This window comes from Homo sapiens, chromosome 9 (assembly GCF_000001405.40).
Source record: "Homo sapiens chromosome 9, GRCh38.p14 Primary Assembly".
NCBI lineage: Eukaryota > Metazoa > Chordata > Mammalia > Primates > Hominidae > Homo > Homo sapiens.
The window spans coordinates 33,740,182-33,764,933 of record NC_000009.12 but is presented as its reverse complement, the minus strand read 5'-3'; the positions used below and the strand labels follow the sequence as shown (position 1 = coordinate 33,764,933).

General features: G+C 42.8%; 1 protein-coding gene and 1 long non-coding RNA gene across 20 annotated transcripts in view, besides 1 other annotated feature; one reads left to right on the top strand and one right to left on the bottom strand.

Annotated features, from left to right (window-relative positions):
• PRSS3 (serine protease 3) overlaps positions 1–14,255 on the bottom strand; it is a 48,553-nt gene extending 34,298 nt beyond the window's left edge. For 3 of the 5 annotated variants that reach the window (XM_047423602.1, NM_001197097.3, NM_007343.4), the window contains exon 1: positions 14,207–14,255. Coding sequence is in view for 1 of the 5 variants with exons in the window: in NM_001197098.1 (NP_001184027.1) it covers positions 14,082–14,100 (19 nt within the window). In the remaining 4 variants the exon portion in view is untranslated. 5 annotated transcript variants of the gene reach the window in all.
• UBE2R2-AS1 (UBE2R2 antisense RNA 1) overlaps positions 1–24,752 on the top strand; it is a 94,784-nt gene that overhangs the window by 53,935 nt on the left and 16,097 nt on the right. For 4 of the 15 annotated variants that reach the window (NR_170206.1, NR_170209.1, NR_170213.1 and 1 more), the window contains one exon: positions 21,287–21,505. The exons of 10 other annotated variants lie outside the window; for them this stretch is intronic. This is a non-coding gene — a long non-coding RNA (UBE2R2 antisense RNA 1). Of the gene's footprint in view, positions 1–4,582; positions 4,714–21,286; positions 21,506–24,752 lie in introns of all 15 variants that reach the window. One more of the 15 variants, NR_170211.1, reaches the window with a different exon arrangement.
• Positions 1,016–1,216: a silencer, noted in NCBI's record as "peak7221 fragment used in MPRA reporter construct". NCBI's record gives its function as "represses an SCP1 promoter by STARR-seq MPRAs in K562 erythroleukemia cells {active_cell/tissue: K562}" and the evidence as "EXISTENCE:reporter gene assay evidence [ECO:0000049][PMID:32103011]".

The following is a 24,752-nucleotide window of genomic DNA, read 5'->3' as shown; positions in this document are numbered from 1 at the left end:
TTCCCTAATGATTAGTGATGTTGAGCATCTTTTCATGTGCTTATTGGGCACATGGAGAAATGCCTACTCAAATACATTGCCCATTTTAATTGGATTACTTGTCTATTATTGAGTTGTAATAGTTCTTTGTTCTAGATACAGGTTTCTTAACAGATATATTATTTGCAAATATTTTCTCCCATTCTGTGAGTTGTCTTTTCTTGATGCTGTCCTTGAAGCACAGAAGCTTGTAATTTTGATGAAGTCCAATTTATCTGTTTTTTTCTTTTGTTTGTGCTTTTGACGTTATATCCAAGAAACCACTGCTTAACCAAAGGTCAGAAAACCCACTTCTATGTTTTCTTCTAAGAATTGTAGTTTTAGCTCTTATATTTATGTTTCTGATCTATTTATTTATTTTTTGAGACTGAATTTTGCTCGTCTCCCAGGCTGGAGTGCAATGGTGCAATCTCGGCTCACTGCAACCTTCGCCTCCTACATTCAAGCGATTCTCCCGCCTCAGCCTCCTGAGTAGCTGGGATTACAGGAATGTGCCACCACACCTGGCTAATTTTGTATTTTTAATAGAGACAAGGTTTCACCATGTTGGCCAGGCTGGTCTAGAACTGCTAACCTCAGGTGATTCAGCCTTGGCTTCCCAAAGTGCTGGGATTACAGGTGTGAACCACTGCACCTGACCTCTGATCTATTTTGACTTAACTTTTGTATATGGTGTGAGGTAGGAATCCAACTTTATTCTTTCACATGTGAATATCCAAGTGTCCCAGCCATTTGTTAATAAGACTATTCTTTTTCCCTATTGAATTGTCTTGGCATCTTGTCTATCCTTCTACTCTTAAAAGTAGATTTCATCAACTCTTTACAGAAGGACCTTGCCTATAGCCAGCTCAAACTGTGAATCAGAAGACTGATTAATTAAACTATTATGATTCACATAAAAATAATTTACTAGAGTATACAGACAACACTCATAACAATGAAAACAAAGGGAAGATTCTTACTCAGCCTGGAGGAAATAGGAGAAAGATTATAGAGGGTAGTGTCATGAAAGCTTCCTGGAAAAACACACAGGCATTAGTCAGGTAGTGTGGGCAGAGTTCTAGTCAGAGCAAATAACACATGCAAAGGCTGAGAGGCAGTTGCAGCCAATCGTCCATATGGTGGGAGTGAACTAGATAATGTCACTTACTCTCTTTACCCTATATCATTTCCACCTTTTTTTTTTTTTTTTTTTTGAGACAGAGTCTCGCTCTTTCGCCCAGGCTGGAGTGCAGTGGCGCGATTTCTGCTCACTGCAAGCTCCGCCTCCCGGGTTCACGCCATTCTCCTGCCTCAGCCTCCCAAGTAGCTGGGATTACAGGTGCCCGCCACCACGCCCGGCTAATTTTTTATATTTTCAGTAGAGACGGGGTTTCACCGTGTTAGCCAGGATGGTCTCGATCTCCTGACCTCGTGATCCGCCTGCCTCGGCCTCCCAAAGTGCTGGGATTACAGGCGTGAGCCACCACGCCCGGCCTCCACCTTCTTTAGCAAGCAAAACCACATGTAATTCTCTTGCATGGATAGAATGCATTAAATCTTAAAATTTTGTTAGACTGGGACTGACCAAAAGAATATACTTAAAAGTAAAATCAAACAGACATTATGGTCCTATGTGCCCAAGAGTCTCAGGGAAAGGATAGAAACCAGCTCACACATGGGCCTGAGGAAGGCTGAGTTAGAAAAGACTTAAGTCAACTGTTATCTTAGTTTCAGTACATTCTATTTCCTACATCTTCCTAAAGGAAACCGAATTCCTAAATTTTCCTTTAAGGAGGAATATAGTCACATAATAGAATATGAACTATGTAGTGTCAGACCTAAGTTCAATCCTGGTTTTGCCACTTTTACTGGTAAGACCTTGGACAAGTTCTCTAATGTCTCTGAATCTCAGTACTCCTCCTTCTAAAACAGGGACATTAATACCACCTTGGAGGGGTCCTGTGAGGCTTACCTGAAAATGTCTAGCAGCTGACTAGAATACATGTTTAATAAGTGTTAGCTTCCTCTCTAGTCTGGTGCTCGTACACTATTCCCGCAATAATAGGGGAGAGACTTGGGCTTCTCTCCTGGAAGAATATATTTTGACCTAAAGTTGCTGTTCTTTGCTTTTGAGTAGCTGACCCTAAATGGGCAGAATTACTGTTTAACATCAGATAATCCTAGAGAGGGCAGTGGCTGAGCATAACTTTTTAATGGGAATGAGACATGTGTTTGGTCAGTAAGGAAGTAGGTTATAGGGTGATCACAGAATATTATTTTCATCGTTTTTGTACATTCTGAATCTGTCCTTGCCGGCACGAACTCTCAGGTGGCTTCTGGTCTGGGTTTGCTTTGGAATACCTGACTCAGCTTTTTGTAACTCTGCAAATAACAAGGTTAATACCTCTTCGTGTTCTATGAGCTGCTTAGTAACAGAATGCAGGGGATGCAGAGGGTTCTGTGTTGAAAGTCCTCCATTGCTCACAGGTGGATGTGACTGTGGCCGCAGTCCTGAACTTCAGTTAAGTCACGTCCCTGCTCTACAGTGGGCTCAGGGGCCTGAGGAGGTCCAGAGTCTATCCCCGTCTTTAGAATTTGACAGCTACTGCCATCATTGTTATTTCCTGTATGGGAAGTTCTTTGGAACAGCACGGTCAGAAGGAGTAAGACCAGAAAGAGTCTGAAGCTTGTTCTGGCACGATTTCACCATGATATGGAACACAATTACTATGAAAAAGAACTCTGTTACCTCCCAGCTCGTTTTGGTTCCTGATCGGAAGATAGTCTGAGCCCCGATGTCTCTCTCTTTCTAAAATTTTCCATATGAGCCAATTAAATACAGGATTCTTCTGGGTGCTAAGGAAATAATATAATGGATAATGATAAAATGAATAGTTTTATCTGCAAGGAGTTTATAATCTAGTAGAGAGCTGTATACAGTCAGGTGCCGCATAATGCCATTTTGGTTAATAACAGACGGCATGTATGATGGTGGCCCCATAAGATTATAATACCTTTTTTTCTTCTTTTTTTTGAGACAAGGTCTCACTCTGTCACCCAGGCTGGAGTACAGTGGCACGATCTCAACTCACTGCAACCTCCGTCCCCAGGGTTCAAGTGATCCTCCTGCCTCAGCTTCCTGAGTAGCTGGGACTACAGGTGTGCACCACCACGCTTGGCTAATTATTTTATTTTATTTTATTTTTGAGGCGGAGTTTCGCTCTTGTTGTCCAGGCTAGAGTGCAATGGCGTGATCTCAGCTCACGGCAACCTCCACCTCCCGGGTTCAAGCTATTCTCCTGTCTCAGCCTCCCCAGTAGCTGGGATTACAGGCATGCACCACCACGCCTGGCTAATTTTGTAATTTTAGTAGAGGCAGGGTTTCTCCATGTTGGTCAGGCTGGTCTCGAACTCCCAACCTCACATGATCTGCCCGCCTCCACCTCCCAAAGTGCTGGGATTACAGGTGTAAGCCACTGCACCTGGCCATAATACCGTATGTTTAATGCATGTTTTCCATGTTTAGATACACACATACTTACCACTGTGCTATAACTGCCTACAGTGTGTGGTACAGTAACGTGCTGTACAGGTTTGAAGTCAATTCTTGGAAAAAGCGCTCACGCCTACAGACTCCCTTCAGCATCTGCTAACAGTGCGTATGCTCAGTACTGACAGTATACACCGCATAGCCTAGATGTGTAGTAGGCTATGCCATTTGGGTTTGTATAAGTACACTCTAGGATGTCCACACAACAAAATCGCCTAACAACCCATTTCTCAGAACATGTCCCTGTCGTTAAGTGCCACATGACAATACTTGTGAAAGACTGATTGTCCTGGGACGTACTGGTAGCAGTCCTAGCGCATAGCACACAAAGTGGGTAACTCTCACCTGAGAAACTGGGTAGGCCTCACAGAGGGGGAGGCATTTGATTTGGGCCTTTCTTCAAACTGTCATGAAAATTAGGCAGTTTTGCTGGATCCTGAATTCGAGATTGAAAAACAAATTGGACTAAATTCTATTTTCTCACTATCTAACAAGAACACTGGCCACTGAGTCAGAATACCTGGGTCCTAGCCTGAATGCTGCTAGGAATTCACTCTGTGACCTTGAGCAAGACACATAGCCTCTCAGGGTCCTAATTTTTTTTTTTTTTTTTTTTTGTGACAGAGTCTTGCTGTGTCCCCCAGACTGGAGTGCAGTGGCATGATCTCGGCTCACTGCAACCTCCACCTTCTGGGTTCACGGCATTCTCTGGCCTCAGCCTCCCGAGTAGCTGGGACTATAGACGCCCGCCACCACACCCAGCTAATTTTTTGTATTTTTAGTAGAGATGGGGTTTCACTGTGTTAGCCAGGATGGTCTCGATCTCCTGACCTCATGATCCACCAGCGTCGGCCTCCCAAAGTGCTGGGATTACAGGCGTGAGCCACCGCACCCGGCCTCTTTATTTGTTAAATAGGGAGTTTGGAAGAGGGACTCTCCATGGCTCTTCCAAATTCTGAAACCCCTTTATGTCTTTGCTCCTCATTAATACATCATAAAAACGAAATGCAGAAGTTGGAGCAAGTTTTAGTCATGGAGAAAGGAGGATGAAACTAAGGCTATGGCTATTACCTACAAAGAAGCAGTTACCAGTTGCCACCTCAGCATACATTAGAGTGAAAGGACATCTCTGGACTTCAAAGGTGGGCTTAGTTTTCAAACAACCAAAAAAAAAAAAAAAACCTTACATATATTTCAGTAATTAACACTATCCTTAACTCAGCCATGTGAAAGAATACATTTAGTTCAGAATTCTCTTTCTGGGTGCTCAAGGAAAATAATAATGGAAAGATCACTCCAAAGTCATGGAGTCAAATTTCCGAGATGCCAGGCCACTAAGGAACATTTCTTCAAGGCTTGGGCTCTCTGCCTTCTCCACCTCTTGGAAAAAGTGCTCAAGCTTACAGACAGACTCCTTCCTTCCTTCCCTCAGCATCCACTGCCAGTGGGCTTGTTCAGCACTGACATTAGTGAGCAGGCAGAGGCTGGGCCTTCCACTTTACTCAACAATCCTCCTTGCATAAGCCCTTACTTCCGTTTCCTCTTCCCCTTGCAAGAACTCTCATGCACACCCATGGATTAATCACCACTTGCACACTGGTGACTCCCACAACTTCATCTCTAGCTCTGACCTTGTCTCTAAGTCTCAGACTCATAGATCCAACAACCTGCTGAATAGACAGACATGCACATAAACATACAGATGTTTCTTAGACACCTCAAGTCAGTATGTCCAAGACTGAATTCACCATCTTTTTTCCCCACCAAATCGGCTTCTCTTCTCATATCCCAAACTTGGGTGATGGCTTAACGTCCAGTCACCCAGAAAGCCAGAATCCTGGGAGCCATTCTGGACTCTTCTCCCCTCACCATTGCCCCCAAAGACACCAAAATTCTGCTAAATTTGCTTCCCCAAGTATCCTGGTATTTTCTCTTTCCCTTCTGTGCCTGCAGCAATGATCTCATTTGGGCTCTCATTGTCTTTTTCCTAAACACTGTGAGGCCTCTAGTCCTGCTGTCCATGAATTCTTCTTCCACCCCGCAGCCAGTCATCCACCTTCCGTGTATATCTGACTACCCTACTGGAGGATGGAAAATGTTCCATTGGCTAACCAGCAGCCTGTGGAGGGGTCCACATCCCCTTGCATTGTGTATACCTGAATGTGGCTCCTCTCCAGCGTCACCTCCCAATTCTTCCCACCGTGAACCTGACAGTGTCCCCTTTGCTGATGTTGTCCCCTCTAAATTGCATGTCCTTTTCATTCCTCTTACTTGGTTTCTGTTTTTAGGCCTTATCTCCTGCAGGAAGCCTCTGTGAGTCTCCAGGCTGGGCTAAGTGCCCCACCTGTGTGTTTTCAAAGGACCTTATACATACCATGATTTTTATCACTTACCATGTTATATTAAAATTATATAGTGACATATGTCTTGCCCATTAGTCTACAGAATCTTCAAGAGCAGAGACCTTATCATCTCCATCATAAACTAGCACAAGCTTGATATATAATAATAGTTCTTAAACTGAACTGAACTGATGAGCTTAGCCTTAATCTTGAATCAAGAGAACACCATCTCCTAAATCTAGCCATTGGTAAAATTGTTGGTACCATCACTATTTTCGTACAGTTCTTAGAGCTAGGTAAGTCCTTTGATTTCTACTACTGTATCTCACAGACTAGCATATGTGCGAATCCTCTCCCCCCAGATGATATCTGAAATCACAAGATGAACATAATCCTGGAGTATCAATTTCACCTGAAGATTCTGGAAAAATGATTTTCATTTGAAAACAGATACAGACATATTTTGGGGTAGCATAAATTTTTTAGTATTAAGAGAGACTGCACTTATGTCAGGCTGTTCTCAGCCAAGTCTCCAGGTCCCTGGGAGTTTAGATTCTATTGTTAGTGCTGATGATTAAGAAACACTAATCTACAGATCACTGTTTTGCACTGTAGTTTAGTTACTGTTCTAAAGCCTCCCATAGAGAAATAAACAGCCCCAGTGAGACCAGAGCAGGAGCTATCTCAGTAATGGCCAGAAGAGAGAGACTTTCATCATGGGTCTGAGTTAGGTTTGAAAAGATGTCTGTCTGATTGACAGGTAGGTATTCTGAAATCAGCATAACAATGTGCTTTGTATAATGTATAAAATATGCCAGATTGTAGATCAATGTAGGGGAGGAGGCAGAAAAATGACCATTAGAACAGATCAAAGAGAAGCTCTGGATCAAAGTAGAGGCCGATCAAAGACACTGGAAGGAAGGGAAGGGCACTACAGTCAAGGGATGGAACATGAGGAAAAAAATAATCCAAACTGAACTGTGGCTCAGGAGGGACTCGATGCAGGGTGGTTGGTGATAACCTAAGAAATAATTAGATATTTAGTAAGGTGATATGGGAGTTTTGAATCCTGGAAATTCGACTTAGAGTCCTAGTAGTTAGATATCTTTCAAGTTTGTTTTCTTATAGCTATTCCATACCATCAGATTTGAGAATGAGGTAGCATCATCCAAGAGGTGGTGACATAAAAAGACGTAAGAGAAACAGAGGAAATAGCAAGGGGACAGGTAGGAAGGGCTAGTTTAAAACAGATAATAGGGTCAATTTAAGTCAACTAACATTTATCAAGTGCCTATTATGCATAAGGCACTATTCTGGGTGATGGAGTTGCAGAGGTGACAAGCCTGGGCCCGTGCTGTCAGGGAGTTTGCAGTCTTTGTTGAAGTCGCCTAAGAAGGAAAAGCTAACAGCAAAAAATCCAGGGTCTAATGGGCAGGCTTTCCAAGTGAGAGGCCTTAGGAAGCTAAAGCAGGAACCATTCCTATCAAACGTAGTATCTGTTCCCTTCACGTGATCTAAACCTTTCCCAGGGAAAAAAAAAAAAAAAGATGAATCTGCTCCAAGTTTTGATGATCACTGTGGGGCTGTACAAGGGAAAAATTGCATGGATTTGGAGGGTTACCTTCAAGGGCAGAAATTCTGTCCCAAATTCTAGAGGTATTAGAAAAATGTTTTCCCAATATAATCGATATTTTGCAAATGGTTATCAAAAAGTAAATTAGTTGTACATGTATTCAAAGAGTTTTCATTCCTTGGTATCTCAGAGCTTTTTCAATAGAAAAGAAAATGTGGAGAACATCAGCAACTTCAAAGTGGAGGCAGAGTCAAGGACACATTTCCCATTTTGAATCCTAGACCTCCACCTATCCACCTTACAACAAGAACCTCTGCTGTTAAGCAGATGACATAATAAATACATCTAAGTTATTATGTGACTTTTCTCAAACAGGAATAAATGGCTAGAAATGAGATCTTTCTACAGAGAAACCCATTATATGTACTAGAAAGCACTAGAGACAGGCGATAAGCCATCAAGAAGGCTTTCTCTGCCTAACCACCCTACAATGAAGCCAGCCAACTTACAAACCATGCTCACAGATGACGCACAGCATCCCTAAACATGTATAAAACTTCCAACATGAAAGGCAGGCCAAAAGCAACATTAAAAGTCACTTTGAAAATAGACACAGACATTGTAGGTAGCTGAAGAAAACTTTTAAAATGTAGAAAAAGTACTGAGTTAATATTCTCAGAGAAATAAGAGAAGATACTGCATTCATGAAATGAGAACAGGATACTGTAAAAACCATTTAGAAGACCACACCTCTCGCCAATAAAAGCTCCTGATAATTAAAAATGTAATGGTAGAATGTAAACATTTAATAGCAGTGTTGGAAGATTTATTAGAACTAAAAAACATGGGATTTTTTTAAAATAAAAAAGATAAAATCACAAGACAAATCCAAGAGATCCCATTTTCAGATTCAGTCTAAGTAATTTAAGTTTCAGAAAGAAAGAACGAGAAAATTATATAACAGAAGAAAACCACTCAGAACCGAAGAATGTAATTTTTGGATTGAAAAGACCTATAAAATACCTAGGACAGTGACTGATACCTCCCTGTATCTCCCTGCCAAAAAACCCCACCCCAACATTAAATAACAGCATCATGAAATATCAGAATATGAACAACAAAGAAAACCCTACAAATGCCCAGAGATTAAAACAAAATACAAGGGATCAGGAATTAGAATGGCATCAGCTTCTCAACAGCACCATAAGAAAATAGAATAAAATAGAGCAATGTTTTCAAAATTCGGACAGGAAATGATTTCTGATTAATATCCCATACCCAGCCAAACCAGCAATCAAGTGTGAAGGAAGAAAAGTGACATCTTAAATGGGCACAAGCTCAAAAAGCAACCGCCTCTTATGGGGCCTGAATCTTAGACACTTTTGGGAGCCTTCTTTAAGAAAAAGGCGTAAAATTACAAAAACTGTACATAATTGGGTATGAAAGTACATATGTATTCCACAAGAGATGGCCTAGACAGAAAAAAAAGTGCGTATGTATGTATGTATTTAGAATGAGAAAATAAATCACAACAGACAGGGACCGTGGAGGTTCTAGACTCTGTCTTTTCAGATGTGCTTAGAAAATTTACCCCAAATGCTTCTTGATGGCAGCCTGGCTTTTCCTCCCCACTCAACAGCTCCATGCAATTAGTAGCACTCAGAGGGCCCCCATGAGTTTCCTTGGCTCCAGGAAATGAGTTCTTGGAGATGAGTTCTCAAACAAACAACTAAAGAAAATGTAGCAATTCCTACACCCCATTCCATGGGGTGGGGGGAAAGACTGGTCAAGAAGGGGAATGTAAAGATCATGGTGTGTCATGTGCCTTAGTTGGGAATAATATACACACCAAACATTGACATATCAAAAATTTAGGATATAACCGTATTGGGAACTTAAAAGAAAGGGATGTGAAGGTGAGAGGGAGGGTGGGGGTGTAAAGGAGCAAACCGTCATCCTTCTTGGTAGGATGTCAATAGATGTTACCCAGAACTGGAAAAGAGAAGAAGAAATGGCCCGTATTTGCATGCTATTTAGGATATGGTAATATCAGAAAAACACAACCCAAAGCATTGAAAGTAATTGCCACTAGGGTTCTATACTCAGTATAAACTCAATAAAAACCTTCTACAATGAACGACTTCTAAGGCTATACATTGATTTATGTTGACCAAAGTAGAAAATTAAAAAATAAAGTAATATCCTCAAGAGGAGTGAGGCAAAAAGCTAACGGAAATAAAATAAAGGCACTTCTGCTAAACTACCCGACATTCGGTGTTTCTCAAAATGTATTCCCGCAACCACCTGCCCTCAGATGACCTGGCGTGCCCGTCCGGAATGGAGATTTATAGACCCAGCCCAGACCTACATCATCAGCAGTTCTCAGAGTGGTCCTTGCACTCTACCATTTAAAAAAGTTCCTCTAGACCCACTGCATTACCCATTGCTTTTTAGTAAAACAAACAAAAAACCAAAACAAATAACAACCTATTTAGAGATAGGATCTACGACTCATAAAACACACTATGGCAGATGCTGCTAGCTGCCTACCCAATGTTCATTCTCCCCCCTGCCTTATTAACAAAATTCCTATTTTGTTATTATTACTATTTTTTGAGATGGAGTTTTGCTCTTGTTGTCCAGGCTGGAGAGCAAGTGGCATGATTTCGGCTCACTGCAACCTCTGCCTCCTGGGTTCAAGCGATTCTCCTGCCTCAGCCTCCTGAGTAGCTGGGACTATAGGCACCTGCTAGCATGCCTGGCTGATTTTTTGTGTTTTTAGTAGAGATGGGGTTTCACCATGTTGGCCAGGCTGGTCTTGAACTCCTGACCTCAGGTGATCCACCCGCCTTGACCTCCCAAAGTGCTAGAATTACAGGCGTGAGCCACTGTGCCTGGCCCAAAATTCTTACTTTGATGTATTGGCATCGTGTCCGTCTAAAACACTAGATTCTCTCAGGTTCCCTCACCTTTAATAGTGTGTATGTGATATGGTTCTGGCCAATGACATGTAAGAAGTCTTTTGGGGTGGGCTACCAGAAAAGCTATTATTATTATTATTTATTATAAAGAAGGACAAGCCAGGCGCGGCGGCTCACATCTGTAATCTCAGCACTTTGGGAGGCCGAGGGGGGCAGATCACAAGGTCAGGAGTTCAAGACCAGCCTGACCAACATGGTGAAACCCCGTCTCTACTAAAAATACAAAAATTAGCTGGGCGTGGTGGTGCACGCCTGTAATCCCAGCTACTTGGAGGCTGAGGCAAGAGAATCACTTGAACCCTGGGAAGCGGAGGTTGCAGTGAGCTGAGATTGTGCCACTGAGTGAGACTCCATCTCAAAAGAAAGAAAGAGACGAGAGAGAGACAGAGAGAGAAAAGAAAAGAAAAGAAGAGAGAAAAGAAAAGAAAAAAAAAGACAAGACAAGACAAGACTCTTCTGGAGCATGCCTCTGCCCGTCTTTCTGCTGCAACTTGGGGAAGTGAGGATGAGAGCTCCATGCTAAGGAGGGTGGTGCGGGAAGACACAAGGAACCTGTCTCAGATGAGTTCATATCGGAACCCCTTTCCCAGCCTCAGGCTTCTCACCTCCAGACTTCTCCTTCTCTGAGAAAAACAAACTCCTTACTTGTTTAAGCCGTTGTAGTAGGGTTTTCTGTTCTTGTAGCTGAATGAACTTCTAATGACATGTCATACTTTTTCAGATGTTTATCTGACATACTGACCACATTTTATGTATGCCTGCTATGGGCACTGTGCTAGGAATAAGACAAGTAAAGCTCTGTTTGTCATGGAACCAGGAGAACAGTTAGAACAGAAGTTAGAACTTTAGCCACTATAATAACGGCTACAGTTAGAACAGAAGGTACATAGGCATTTCAGGCTGGGATTCAGGGAGGTTATGTTTGCTGTCACAGACCTCAAACCAAAAGAGTACATCAAAATAAGTCACTGGATTTATACATTTGGCAAATTCTCAAGAGACCACATGACAGAAGGAGCAATAATCTGAACATTGCTTTTAGCTGTAATTCTCCAATGAAGTAGATTTGGGGAAGCAACATGAGGTACTTGCTTTATTTTTTTAAATCCGTTTTTTTTCTTTGAAAAACCACAAGATTGGACTTGACAATCTTTAAGGTTATACCCAGCTCTAAGATATTTTTGTAATTATATGGAACAAAGATGGACATGAAATATACCAAATGAGAGTTTCTAAATTTAGATTCTGACAGTTCAAGTCAGAAAACATATTAAGTGTTCAGGAAAAACAAATCACAATCTTCCATCACAAAATTCAACAAGAACAACAAAAACCACTCCAGAGGCAGCTGTGGTATTCTGGAAGGAATGCTGGTTTGAGCTCCGGCTCTGCCATTTAATTCCTGGCTAACCCTGGACCACATACACAATATCTCTGTTTCCATCTCCTCATTTTTGAAATACGGATTCTAATCTTGCCTGAACAGTGCTGTTTACAAACATCGCCTTGTGCTCTATAAAGCCCCATTACGATTTCAACAACCAGCAAGATAATGGCTTATGATATCTAAGTCCTGGCAAGGAGAATGCAGGTGTGTACCTTGCTATATTCAGTTGAACTCTGCATCACATACAGAAGGCTGATAGACCTTTTAGCTTTCCTTTTTCCTCCAGCGGTGTAGTTTGTGGTCATTTAGTTTTTACACAAGAGAACAGAAAAGAGAGATAAAATTCGCTAAAATTCAGATAGTCTCTTTGTGTTTGTTTCTAGCCTCAGTGAAGGTTTCGGGGAGAGGGCTGGCTGGTTAAAAGGGTAGAAGCTTAAGAGTTCAAAGAAAGTGTGAGGAGGACAGCACTCACCTGTGGCCTCTAATTGTTCATATTCAGTATGGTCTCATACTGGGAATAATCTAGTGTTTGTCTTATGATCTGTCTACACAAACAAATATGGAATGTGTCTATAAGTACCACTAGTTGACACACTAGTGACTTTAATTCTCTTACAATAAAATGTTTTGCAATAGCAAGGACTTTGGCTAGGGGAGTGACTCTGTGTGGTGAAACTGTCCTCACCCATTTTACATTTGAGGAAAAGAGATAATCTTTTGATCACACCCAACACAGTTAACATCTGTACTTTGAACAGCTAAGTATAGCAGCTGATGTTTAACTGAAGGTAGGGGGGAGATGAGAAACAGAAACAACTGGTGCCAAATGTGAGATTCAATAACTTCGCCTCGGCCATCACAACCAACATCAACCAGAAGGGTGCGGGAGGAACTCACGGAATAAATGGGAACAGGTGTGGCCTGAGGATAAGTAAGTGGGGGCACTGTTTCCTTCTTCATGAAGATGTGAGAGGAAATCAAAGCTCTTTAAAAAGAAGGAAGTGGAATGCTTGGCTCCTGTAATATCAGAACAAATAATGCACAGCCAGAGGTCATGCCTCACCTTTTGCTTATCTCAGGCACCTCTGCTTGTAAAATCAGTGGGCCATATTCAATGAAACCTTCATTTCAGTTCCATATCTTTTCCCAGAAACCCCAGGAACAGAGCGAGCCAATATCCTTATTAAACCAAGAAGCTCGCAGTCACGAAGAGCTAAGTCTGACGCCACTGGGCCCCTACCTAACCACGTGTCCTGATTCTTTCCGTAATTTCCCACTGCACAACACCCAGGTTATACTGAAAATATAACACATCTGGTTAAAAACAGTACACGTTTCTCATGAACAATAAGCCATCCTTTCTATAAAATCAGTGTAAAATTGCAGGTAAAATGCTGTAGGCAGATCTGTTTGGAAGGCTATGCCACCCTAGGAGACAAAAAGGTGCGGGAGGAGGAAAACGGCAGACACGGCAGAAAGCAGTCGAAGAGAACGTGAAAGAAGTGGCCATTTCTGCAACTTTTAGGAGAGCTACCTGCCCTCAAATTTTGAAAGGGTTTCTATTTCTTAAAGTGCTAGGTTTCCCTGGCTGAAACTCACATCTTTCTTCCCTCTAGGGCTGGATCTAAGCTTCAGAGGTTGTTTCTCTGGCCCTAGACAGGGCCACCCCCGCAAATTTCTCCCCCACTGCGCCTGACATCCGCTTCCATCCATGGCTCCATTAACGGAAGCTAAGCACTGGATCGGGGGACTTTATCCACCGCCCAATGTTATTAGATTCCAGGCTTCCTGGCCTCAGGAAAGGATCTGGCTCATGTATTTGTGTATCGCAGCTAACAAGGAAAGGCAGTCGGGGTACCAGTGCCCAGAGCTATGTGAGCTGTGACTGGACACAGCTCAGGGGCCAGGTGGCATCCACGGGGGCGCGCGTTCCCGGACTCACGGGGCAGACGGAGGCCCGGGGCTTCACACCTTCCCCTCACCCTGCAACGCGGCAGACCTGACTCGCGGGGGACTGAGCAATATTCATTCCAGGGCCGCGGCCAGCCGGACATAGGCACTCGGGGGCGGTGGGAGTAGTGTGCGCATCGGTGCCGCAGCCCGGAGGGGGCCCCAGGTGGGCTTCTGCGACACCAGGGCCCTCCATCCCCTCCCGTCCTCCCCTAGAGGAGCCTCCATCCCTGTCCCTGAGCCCCTCCCAGTCGGTATCCCCTCCCTGTCCGCGTACCCTCCCCCGCAGGTCCCATGCGAGTCGGAACCCCCTCTCCATCACAGCCCCGCTCCTTGGCGGGGCTCCCTCTCCCTTCGAGCCCTCCTCCAGTTTCAAGCCCCCTGCGGGTACTGACGTCTGACCTGTGCCCAGCGCCTCGCAGCCGTCTGCATCCCGCGCCGCTCGCCAAGTGCGTCCACCCAGAAGCGGGTGCAGCTCCAGGCCCGCCCCGCCCCGCTGCGCCCCGCCCCGCTCCACTCTGCCAGGCCTGGCAGCCGCCAGACCCTTTCCACACTTGACCGCCCTTCCCGGTCCCGGCCAGCGTGCGGGGCATCTGTCGTCAGGTCCGCACATCCTCCAGGCCCTTGACCTTCCCTTGGAGATGTCTCTGGCCCCAGGAACTCCCTAGGCTGTGTGCTTCAGGAGAGGCTGGTTCCTGAGTCACCCAGGAGGACTGCAACCAACCGGGACCTCCTGGGATGCAAAGAGATCGCAGGGCCTGGGAGGCGGCGAGGAGCCCGAGCACAGGCTGTGGCTCTGAAGAGTGTTTGTTACCAAGCCAGGCAACCACTGCGAACACACCGGAGAAACAGCCACAGATCACCGTCCAGCAAAGGAAGAAGGCACCAACGGTCCATCAGGGACCACAACCCAGTTTTTCTAGTTTAAGTTTGGTGGCTAAGTTTGAGTGTCACATAGTTCATTCATTCCTTCATTCATTCAACAAATCTGCCACGTTCCCATCTGATAACAGATCTGACAGGTGGGCACAGTTCTAGGTGCTGGCAATAGAGCTGAGAAGGAAACAAAGTCCCTGTCCCGGAGAAGGGGGCTTCCTGCTGAGGAGCGCATGACTTTCTTTGTGGTATTGTGCTGTGGCAGCGGGGTCCTCTTCTGTAAGCTACTGAGAGGTGAAGCTGGCTGGGCTTCTGGGTCTGATGGGGACTTGGAGAACTTTTCTGTCTAGCTAAAGGATTGTAAAAGCATCAATCAGCGCTCTGTGTCTACGCTCTGTGTCTAGCTAAAGGTTTGTAAACACACCAATCAGCACTCTGTGAAAATACACCAATCAGTGCTCTGTGTCCAGCTAATTGGTGGGGACTTGGAGAACTTTTCTGTCTAGCTAAAGGATTGTAAAAGCATCAATCAGCGCTCTGTGTCTAGCTAAAGGTTTGTAAACACACCAATCAGCACTCTGTAAAAATGCACCAATCAGTGCTCTGTGTCCAGCTAATTGGTGGGGACTTGGAGAACTTTTCTGTCTAGCTAAAGGACTGTAAATGCACCAATCAGCACTCTGTGTCTAGCTAAAGGTTTGTAAACACACCAATCAGCACTCTGTAAAAACGGACCAATCAGCACTCTGTAAAATGGACCAATCAGCACTCTGTAAAATGGACCAATCAGCAGGATGCAGGCGGGGCCAATAAGGGAATAAAGGCTGGCCATCGCGGCCAGCTTCCCCGTTCGGGTCCCCTCCCACATTGTGGGAGATTTGTTCTTTCCCCTTTTGCAATAAATCTTGCTGCTGCTCACTTTTTAGGTCCACACTACCTTTATGAGCTGTAACACTCATGGTGAAGGTTTGCAGCTTCACTCCTGAAGCCAGCCAGACCAGGAACCCACCATGAGAAACAAACAACTCTGGAGCCGCCATAAGACTCACTGTGGCTTTAAGAGCTATAAGACTCACTGTGAAGGTCTGCGGCTTCACCCCTGAAGTCAGCCAGACCACGAACCCACCGGGAGGAACAAACAACTCCGGACGCACCACCTTTAAGAGCTGTAACGCTCACTGCAAAGGTCTGCGGCTTCACTCATGAAGTCGTGCATAGACCACGAACCCAGTAGAAGGAAGAAACTCCTGACACATCTGAACATCTGAAGGAACAAACTCTGGACACACCGTCTTTAAGAAGTGTAACACTGCGAGGGTCCGCGGCTTCATTCTTGAAGTCAGCGGCACCAGGAACCCATTGGAGGGAACCAATTCCGGACACACAGCCTCGTGGAATGGTTCTGCACAGTGTGTGTGTGTTTCCCGTCAACCCTGTGCACACTATTAAAAGAACACAAGCGCTAAGCCTCCCTCTCAGACCTACTGGTAAGAATCCAGGGCTGATGCACCTATTAAAAGCTTCTCAGGAGGCCGGGGGAAGTCGGGATTGAGAACCACGGGTCTAGATCTCCAAGATGCCTGGCAGTTTATCCCACTGTTGAGGGCACTGGCAATCAGGAAGGGCTTCATGGAAGAGATGTTCGTATTTGGGTTTTAAAGCAGGGCCACAGATAGATATTAGCAGTGCAGAAGGACACAGGATCTGATGGGCAGCCTCTTGACCAAATGGCTCTCCCTTTCTATAAAGTCAAAGAAAATCACTGTGAAGGATAAAGCATTAGCTGGAGCAGATCTTTCCCTGGTAAAACAAAGTGAATGGGATCTGGTGGGAGGTGGTAATGGCCAAGAGGTAGTGTCATCAGTTAAAAGCATAATGGAGTTGTGCACCTTAGAGGGAGGATGGGCCGCAGCCAGGAGCTGGGAGGGCATCTTTTAAATTTGCTGTCAGCTCAGAAACTTAATCACACGTCTCATCCTAGCACTTGCTCACAACCTTTGTTTTAGAAATCGTTGATGGAGTGGAGTCCTGGATGCCTGTTACCCTGGGAGAGGCTATCCTCTGTCACCAGATCCCTTTTATGGACAGCCATTTTCTTTTTTAATATTTACCTTGCCTACCATGGTGAAACAAAGGTGTGACCTTTTAATTGTATAGTTCAATCGTGAGTAGAGATGCTTTTATTTATTTATTTTTTTTGAGACGGGAGTTTTGCTCTTGTTGCCCAGGCTGGAGTGCAATGGCTCGATCTCGGCTCACCACAGCCTTGACCTCCTGGGTTCAAGTGACTCTCCTGTCTCAGCCTCCTGAGTAGCTGGGATTACAGGCATGTGCCGCCAGGCCCGGCTAACTTTGTATTTTTAGTAGAGTTGGGGTTTCTCCATGTTTGTCAGACTGGTCTTGAACTCCCGACCTCGGGTGATCTGCCCACCTGGGCCTCCTAAAGTGCTGGGATTACAGGTGTGAGCCACCTCGCCTGGCCGAGATGCTTCTTAATATTAAAAAATCTAAACAAAATAATTTCTGCTTCAAATTATAATAATCAGGTACCAGGACAAAACCAGTTTGTGTGTGTGTGTGTGTGTGTGTGTGTGTGTGTTTGAGACAGGGTCTCACTTTGTTGCCCAGGGTGAAGTTCAGTGGTGCAATCATAGCTCACTGTAGCCTTGACCTCCAACGCTCAAGAGATACTCCTGCCACAGCTTCCTAAGTAGTTGGGACTACAGGTGTACATCAACACGCATGGCTAACGTTTACATTTTTAAAAATTTCAATAGTTTTTGGGGAACAGGTCATTTTTTGTTACACGGATAAGTTCTTTAGTGGTGATTTTTGAGATTTTTGTGTACTCATCACCTGAGCAGTGTACACTGTACCCAGTGTATAGTCTTTTATCCCTCACCCTCCTCTCACTTACCCCTGAGTCCCCATAGTCCATTATATATATTTTTTTTTTTATTTTTTTTTTTTTTGAGACAGAGTCTTGCCCTGTCACCCTGGCTGGAGTGCAGTGGTGCAATCTCAGCTCACTGCAACCTCTGCCTCCCAGGTTCAAGTGATTCTCCTGCCTCAGCCTCCCGAGTAGCTGGGACTACAGGCACGTGCCACAACGACTACTTTTTGTATTTTTAGTAGAGACAGGGTTTCACCATGTTAGCCAGGATGGTTTCAATCTTCTGGCTTCATGATCCACCTGCCTTGGCCTCCCAAAGTGCTGGGATTACAGGTGTGAGCCACTGCGCCTGGCACATTATATCATTCTTATGCCTTTGCGTCCTCATAGCTTAGCAAACCCTTATAAGTGAGAACATATGATATTTGGTTTCCCATTCCTGAGTTACTTCACTTGGAATAATGTTCTCCAACTCCCGTACAAATTGCTGCAAATGCCATTACTTCATTCCTTTTTATGGCTGAGTAGTAGTCCATGGTGTAAATATATCACATTTTCTTTATCCACTTGTCAGTCGAGGGGCATTTAGGCTGGTTCCATATTTTTGCAATTGTGAATTCTGCTCCTATAAACAAGCAGATGCAAGTGGCTTTTTCATATGATGACTTCTTTTCTTCTGGGTAGATACTCAATAGTGGGACTGCTGGATCAAATGGTAGTTTTACTTTTAGTTCTTTAAGGAATCTCCATAAAGTTTTCCACAGTGGATGTACTAGTTTATATTCCCACCATCAGTGTAAAAGTGCCCTTTTCATCACATCCATGCAAACATCTACTATTTTTTGACTTTTTAAATTATGGCCAGTCTTGCAGAAGTAAGGTGGTATTTCATTGTGGTTTTAATTTGCATTTCCCTGATAATTAGTGATGTTGAGCATTTTTTTTCATGTGTTAGTCATTTCGTTATCTTCTTTTGAGAACTGTCTATTCATGTTCTTTGCCCACTTTTTGATGGGATTATTTCTCTTTTTCTTGCTGATTTGAGTTCCTTGTAGATTCTGTAGGACGCATAGTTTGTGAATATTTTCTCCCATTCGGTGAGGTGTCTGTTTACACTGCTGATTATTTATTTTGCTGTGCCGAAGTGTTTTAATTTAATTAGGTAATATCTGTTTATTTTTGTTTTTGTTAGATTTGCTTTTGGGTTTTTGGTCTTGAAATCTTTGCCTAAGCCAGTGTTTAGAAGAGTTTTTCCAATGTTATCTTCTAAAGTTTTTGTGGTTTCAGGTCTTACATTTAAGTCTTTGATCCATCTTGAGTTGATGTCTGTATAAGGTGAGAGATGAGGATCCAGGTTCATTCTTCTGTATGTGACTAGCCGGTTATCTCAGCACCATTTGTTGAATAGGGTGCCCCTTCCCAATTTGCGTTTTTGCTTTCTTTGTTGAAGATCAGTTGGTTGTATTTGGCTTTATTTCTGGGTTCTCTGTTCTGTTCCATTGATCTATGTGCCTACTTTTATATTGGTATCATGCTGTTATGGTACTGGTATAAATCTTGTAGGATAGTTTGAAGTCAGTTAATGCGATGCCTCCAGATTTTTTTTGCTTAGTCTTGCTTTGGCTATGTGGGGTCCTTTTTGGTTCCATATGAATTTTAGAATTTTTTTTCTAGTTCTGTGAAGAATGATGATGGTACTTTGATGGGAGTTGCACTGAATATGTAGATTGCTTTTGATAGTATGGGCGTTTTCACCATATTGATTCTACCCATCCATGAGTTTTGTCATGTTTCCATTTGTATATATACGTATATATATGTGTGTGTGTGTGTGTGCGTGTGTGTGTGCATGTGTGTGTGTGTGTGTATGTGTGTGTGTGTGTATATATATATATATATATATATATATATATATATATATATATGATGGAATACTACACAGCCCAGGCTGTTGCCCAGGCTGGAGTGCAATGGTGAGATCTCGGCTCACTGCAACCTCTGCCTCCCAGGTTTAAGCGATTCTCCTGCCTCAGCCTCCCAAGTAGCTGGGATTACAGGCACCTGCCACCACACCTGGCTAATTTTGTATATATACATATATACAAATGTCAGTTTCCATTTGTTTGTGTCATCAGTGATTTCTTTCAGCAGTGTTTTGTAGTTTTCCTTGTAGAGGTCTTTTACCTCCTTGGATATATGTGTGTGTATATATATATATATGTCATAGATAGTTTTTATTACCATGAGGTATGTCCCTTCCATGCCAATTTTTCTGAGGGTTTTAATCATAAAGCGATGCTGAATATATATAATATATATATTATACATATATATAATATATTTTATATATATATATATATGGCAGCTGTTGTAAAAGGGATTGAGTTCTTGATTTGTTTCTCACCTTGGTCGTTGTTGGTATATAGTGGTGTTACTGACTTATGAACATTGATTTTTGTATCCTGAAACTTTACTGAATTCATTTATCCAATCTAGGAGCCTTTTGGATGAGTCTTCAGAGTTTTCTAGGTATACAATCTTATCATCAGTGAACTGCAACAGTTTGACTTCCTCTTTACTGATTTGGATGCCCTTTATTTCTTTCTCATGTCTGATTGCTCTGGCTAGGACTTCCAGTACTATGTTGAATAGAAGTGGTGAAAGTGAGCATCCTTGGCTTGTTCCAGTTCTCAGGGGGAATGCTTTCAACTTTTCCCTGTTGAGTATGTTAGCTGTCGGTTTGTCATAGATAGCTTTTATTACCTTGAGGTATGTCCCTTCCATGCCAATTTTTCTGAGGGTTTTAATCATAAAGCAATGCTGAATTTTGTCAAATGCTTTTTCTGCATTGATTGGGATAATAATATGATTTTTGTTTTTAATTCTGTTTACTGGGCATAATATCACATTTATTGACTTGTATATCCCTGCATCCCTGGTATGAAACCCACTTGGCTATTGCTGTCTTATCTTTAAAAATTTTTTTTTTCATAAGTTATTGGGGTACTGGTGGTATTTGGTTACACGAGTAAGTTATTTAGTGGTGATTTGTGAGATTTTGGTGCACTTATCACCCGAGCAGTATACACTGCACCATATTTGTAGTCTTTTATCCCTTGACCCCCTCCTACTTTTCTCCCCAAGCCCCCAAAGTCCATTGTATCATTCTATGCCTTCGCATCCTCATAGCTAACTCCCACATATCAGTGAGAACATATGATGTTTGGTTTTCCCTTCCTGAGTTACTTCACTAGAATAATAATCTCCAGTCTCATCCAGGTCACTGCAAATGCTGTTAATTCATTCCTTTTCATGGCTGTGTAGTATTCCATCATACACACACACACACACACACACACACACACACACACACGCACATATGTATACGTATAAAAAACCACAGTTTTTTTTATCCACTCATTGATCAGTATTTGAGTTGGTTCCACAATTTTGCAGTTGTAAATTATGCTGCTATAAACATGCATGTGCAAGTATCTTTTTCAAATAACGACTTCTTTTCCTCTGGGTAGATACCTAGTAGTGGGATTGCCAGATCAAATGATAATTCTACTTTTAGTTCTTTAAGGAATCTCCACACTGTTTTCCATAGTGGTTGTACTAGTATACATTCCCACCAGCAGTGCGGAAGTGTTCCTGGTTCACTGCATCCATGCCAACGACTACTGTTTTTTTTATTATGGCCATTCTTGCAGGAGTGTCTTTTGGAAGACAATTCTTGGTCTGCTACTGGGCCTTAGTAGAGACTGAATGTTTGACCATTGGCTGCCAAGTTACCATGCAACCTGAGCTGCCCATCATGAACTGACTGTTATCTGATCCACCAAGTCATAAAATTTGGCATACACAGCACTCCATCATCAAATGGAAATAGTACATACATGATCTGGTTGGAATAGGCCCTGAAGGCACATGTAAGTTACATGAAAAAGTGACCCAAATGCTCATGGTATCTACTTTTGCAACACTGCCTTCTCTCTCACTGCCTGCACCTTTGGTGTTACCAGGAGTTCCCTATGATCAATCGATAGGAGAAGACTCAGGCCTGGTTTGCAGATGGTTCTGCACAATATGCAGACACGACAGCTGCAGTACTAGAACCTCTTACTGGGATATCCCTGAAAGACAGCTGTGAAGGGAAATCCTCTTACTGGTCAGAACTTTGAGCAGAGCATCTGATTGTACACTTTTATTGGAAGAAGAAATGGCCAGACCTGTGATTATATATCAGTACAGACTGTGGCCAATGGTTTGGCTGGATGTTCAGGGAATTGAGAGGAACATGATTGGAAAATTGGTGACAAATTTAAGGAAGAGGTATATGGACAGACTTCTCTGAGTGGGCAAAACACATGGTGATATTTGTGTCCCATGTGAATACTCACAAAGGGAATTTTAATAATCAAGTGGACAAGATGACCCATTCTGTGGATACTGGTCACCCTTTTTTCCCAGCTACCTCTGTCATTGCCTAATGGTCTCATGAACAAAGTGACCATGATGGCAGTGATAGCGGTTATGCTTGGGGAAGTAACGTGGACTTCCACTCAACAAGGCCAATCTGGCTTACAGTTACTGCTGAAAGTCCAATCTGCCAACAGCAGAGAGCAACATTGAGTCCCTGATATGGCCAACATTGAGCAGAGACCAACATCAAGTCCCTAGGGTGATCACACAGCCACCTGGTGGTAGGTTGATTATGTGGGGACATTTTCATCATAGAAGGGACACTGTTTGTTCTTAATGTAATAGACACTTACTCTGGATATTGTTTTGTCTTCCCTGCACACAATGCTTCTGCCAAAACTACCATCCATGGGCTTATAGAATGCTTTATTCATCATTGTAGTATTCCACATTGCATTGTTTCTGATCAAGGAACTCACTTTACAGCAAAAGAAACAGAGCAACGGACCCATGCTCGTGGAATTTGCTGGTCTGATTATCTTCCCCATCATCCTGAAGCAATTGGCTTGATAAAACAGTGGAATAGCATTTTGAAGTCTCAGTTATGACATCAGCTAGGTGGCAATTTCTTGCAGGGGTGGAGTGAAGTTCCTCAGAAGGCTGTATATGCTATGAATCAGTGTCCAATATAAGATCTTGTTTCTCCTACAGCAAGTAGCATTCACAGGTCAAGAGATCAAAAGACAAAAGTGGGAGTGGCACCACTCACTATTACCCCGAGTGACCCACTAGCAAAATTTTTGTTTCCTGTTCCTGACTTTATGCTTTGCTGACCTAGAGTTCTTAGTTCTAGAGGAAGGGATATTTCCATAAGGAAGGGATATTTCCACCAGGAGACACAATAATGATCCCAAGAACTGAAAGTTAAGACTTCCACCTGGCCACTTTGGGATCCTCATATTTCTCAATTAATAGGTAAAGAAGGGAGTTACAGTGTTGGCTGGGATGATTGGTCCTGACTACCAAGGGGGAAATTGGACTACTATTCCACAATGGAGTTAAGGAAGAGTAAGTATATCCAGAATACAGGAAATTCCTTAGGGTATCTTTAGTATTACCATGCCCTGTGTTTTATGTCAATAGAAAACTACAGCCCGACCAGGCAGGGCTACAAATGGCTCAAACCCTTCAGGAATAAAAGTTGAAGTCACCCTACCAGATAAAGCTGAGGTACTTGCTGAAGGCAATGGGAATACAGAATGGGTAGTGGGAAAAGGTAGTTGTAAATACCAGCCATGACCATGTGGCCAGTTACAGAAACAAAGATGGTAATTGCCATGTCTATTTTCTCCTTATTTTGCTGTAAACACATTTGTGTGTGAATCTTTGTTATCCTTCCACTCTTATTCCCTTATCATGTAACATAAGGTGTATTTATAATATTTTATATCATAGTATTTAAGTATTTTTAATTTAATTTTTTTTTTTTGAGACAGAGTCTGGCTCTGTTACCCAGGCTGTGGTACAGTGGCACGATCTTGGCTCACTGCAACCTCCGCCTCCTGGGCTCAAGCCATCCTCCCACCTCAGCATTCCAAGTAGCTGGGACTACAGGCACACACCACCGTGCCTGGCTAATTTTTGTATTTTTTTTTATAGAGTTGGTGTTTCACCATGTTGCCCAGGCTGGTCTTGAACTTCTGAGCTCAAGTGATCTGCCTGCCTTGGCCTCCCAAAGTGCTGGGATTGCAGGTGTGAGCCACTGCACCCAGCCAAGTGTTATAGTATATCAAAGAGTAAACATGTTTCAAGGATTTTACCTCCTCATCTGGGAAATAAGTTACTGTGTTTTTTATTGTATCCAGGGTAGTATTAAGGTAGGTGGAATTATGACCTATTATTTTTATTTGGAGAATAAGTTTGGTTTGAGGAGATGTGTATGGGTGCCAAGTTGACAAAGGGTAGACTTGTGATAATAAATTTTATGTGTCAACATGACTGGGCTATGGGGTGCACAGGTTAAACATAATTTTTGCTGTGTCCATGAGAGTGCTTCTGGATGGACCCAACCACTGGCTGAATTACAGCACTGGTCTTCCTGGGTCTCTGACTTGCAGATGGCAGATCATGGCACTTTTTGGCCTTCATAACCGTGTGAGCCAATTCTTCATATAAATCTCTCTCTCCCTCTAATATATTTATATATGTAAATATAGTTATATGTTGCCAATATATTTATATTAGTAAAATACTACATATTTACATATATAAATAATACATATACTGGGTATGGTGGCTCACACCTGCAATATATTTTATATGTATAAAATATATATAGTATAATACTAATATAAATACTATATATATATATATCCTATTCCTTCCGTTTCTTTGTAGAACTCTGACTAATACATGTGGGTTTATTTTCATTAAATTTGGAAAAAAAATGGCCATTTTTTTCAAGTATTATTTTCCTCCCCTCTTCTGGATACTCCAGTTATGTATATGTTAGGCTACTTGATATTGTCCCACAACTTATTGATGCTTTGTTTAGTTTTCTTCTGGCTTATATTTTCTCTCAATGTTTAATTTGCATAGTTCCTATTGCTATATCTTCAAATTCACAAATCTTTTCTCCTGTAGCATTTAATCTGCTGTTAATCCTGCCAATGTATTTTTCAGCTTAGTTATTGTATTTTTCATTTCTAGAAGTTTAGTTAGGCATTTCATTTTTCTCCCGACTATACTCATGCT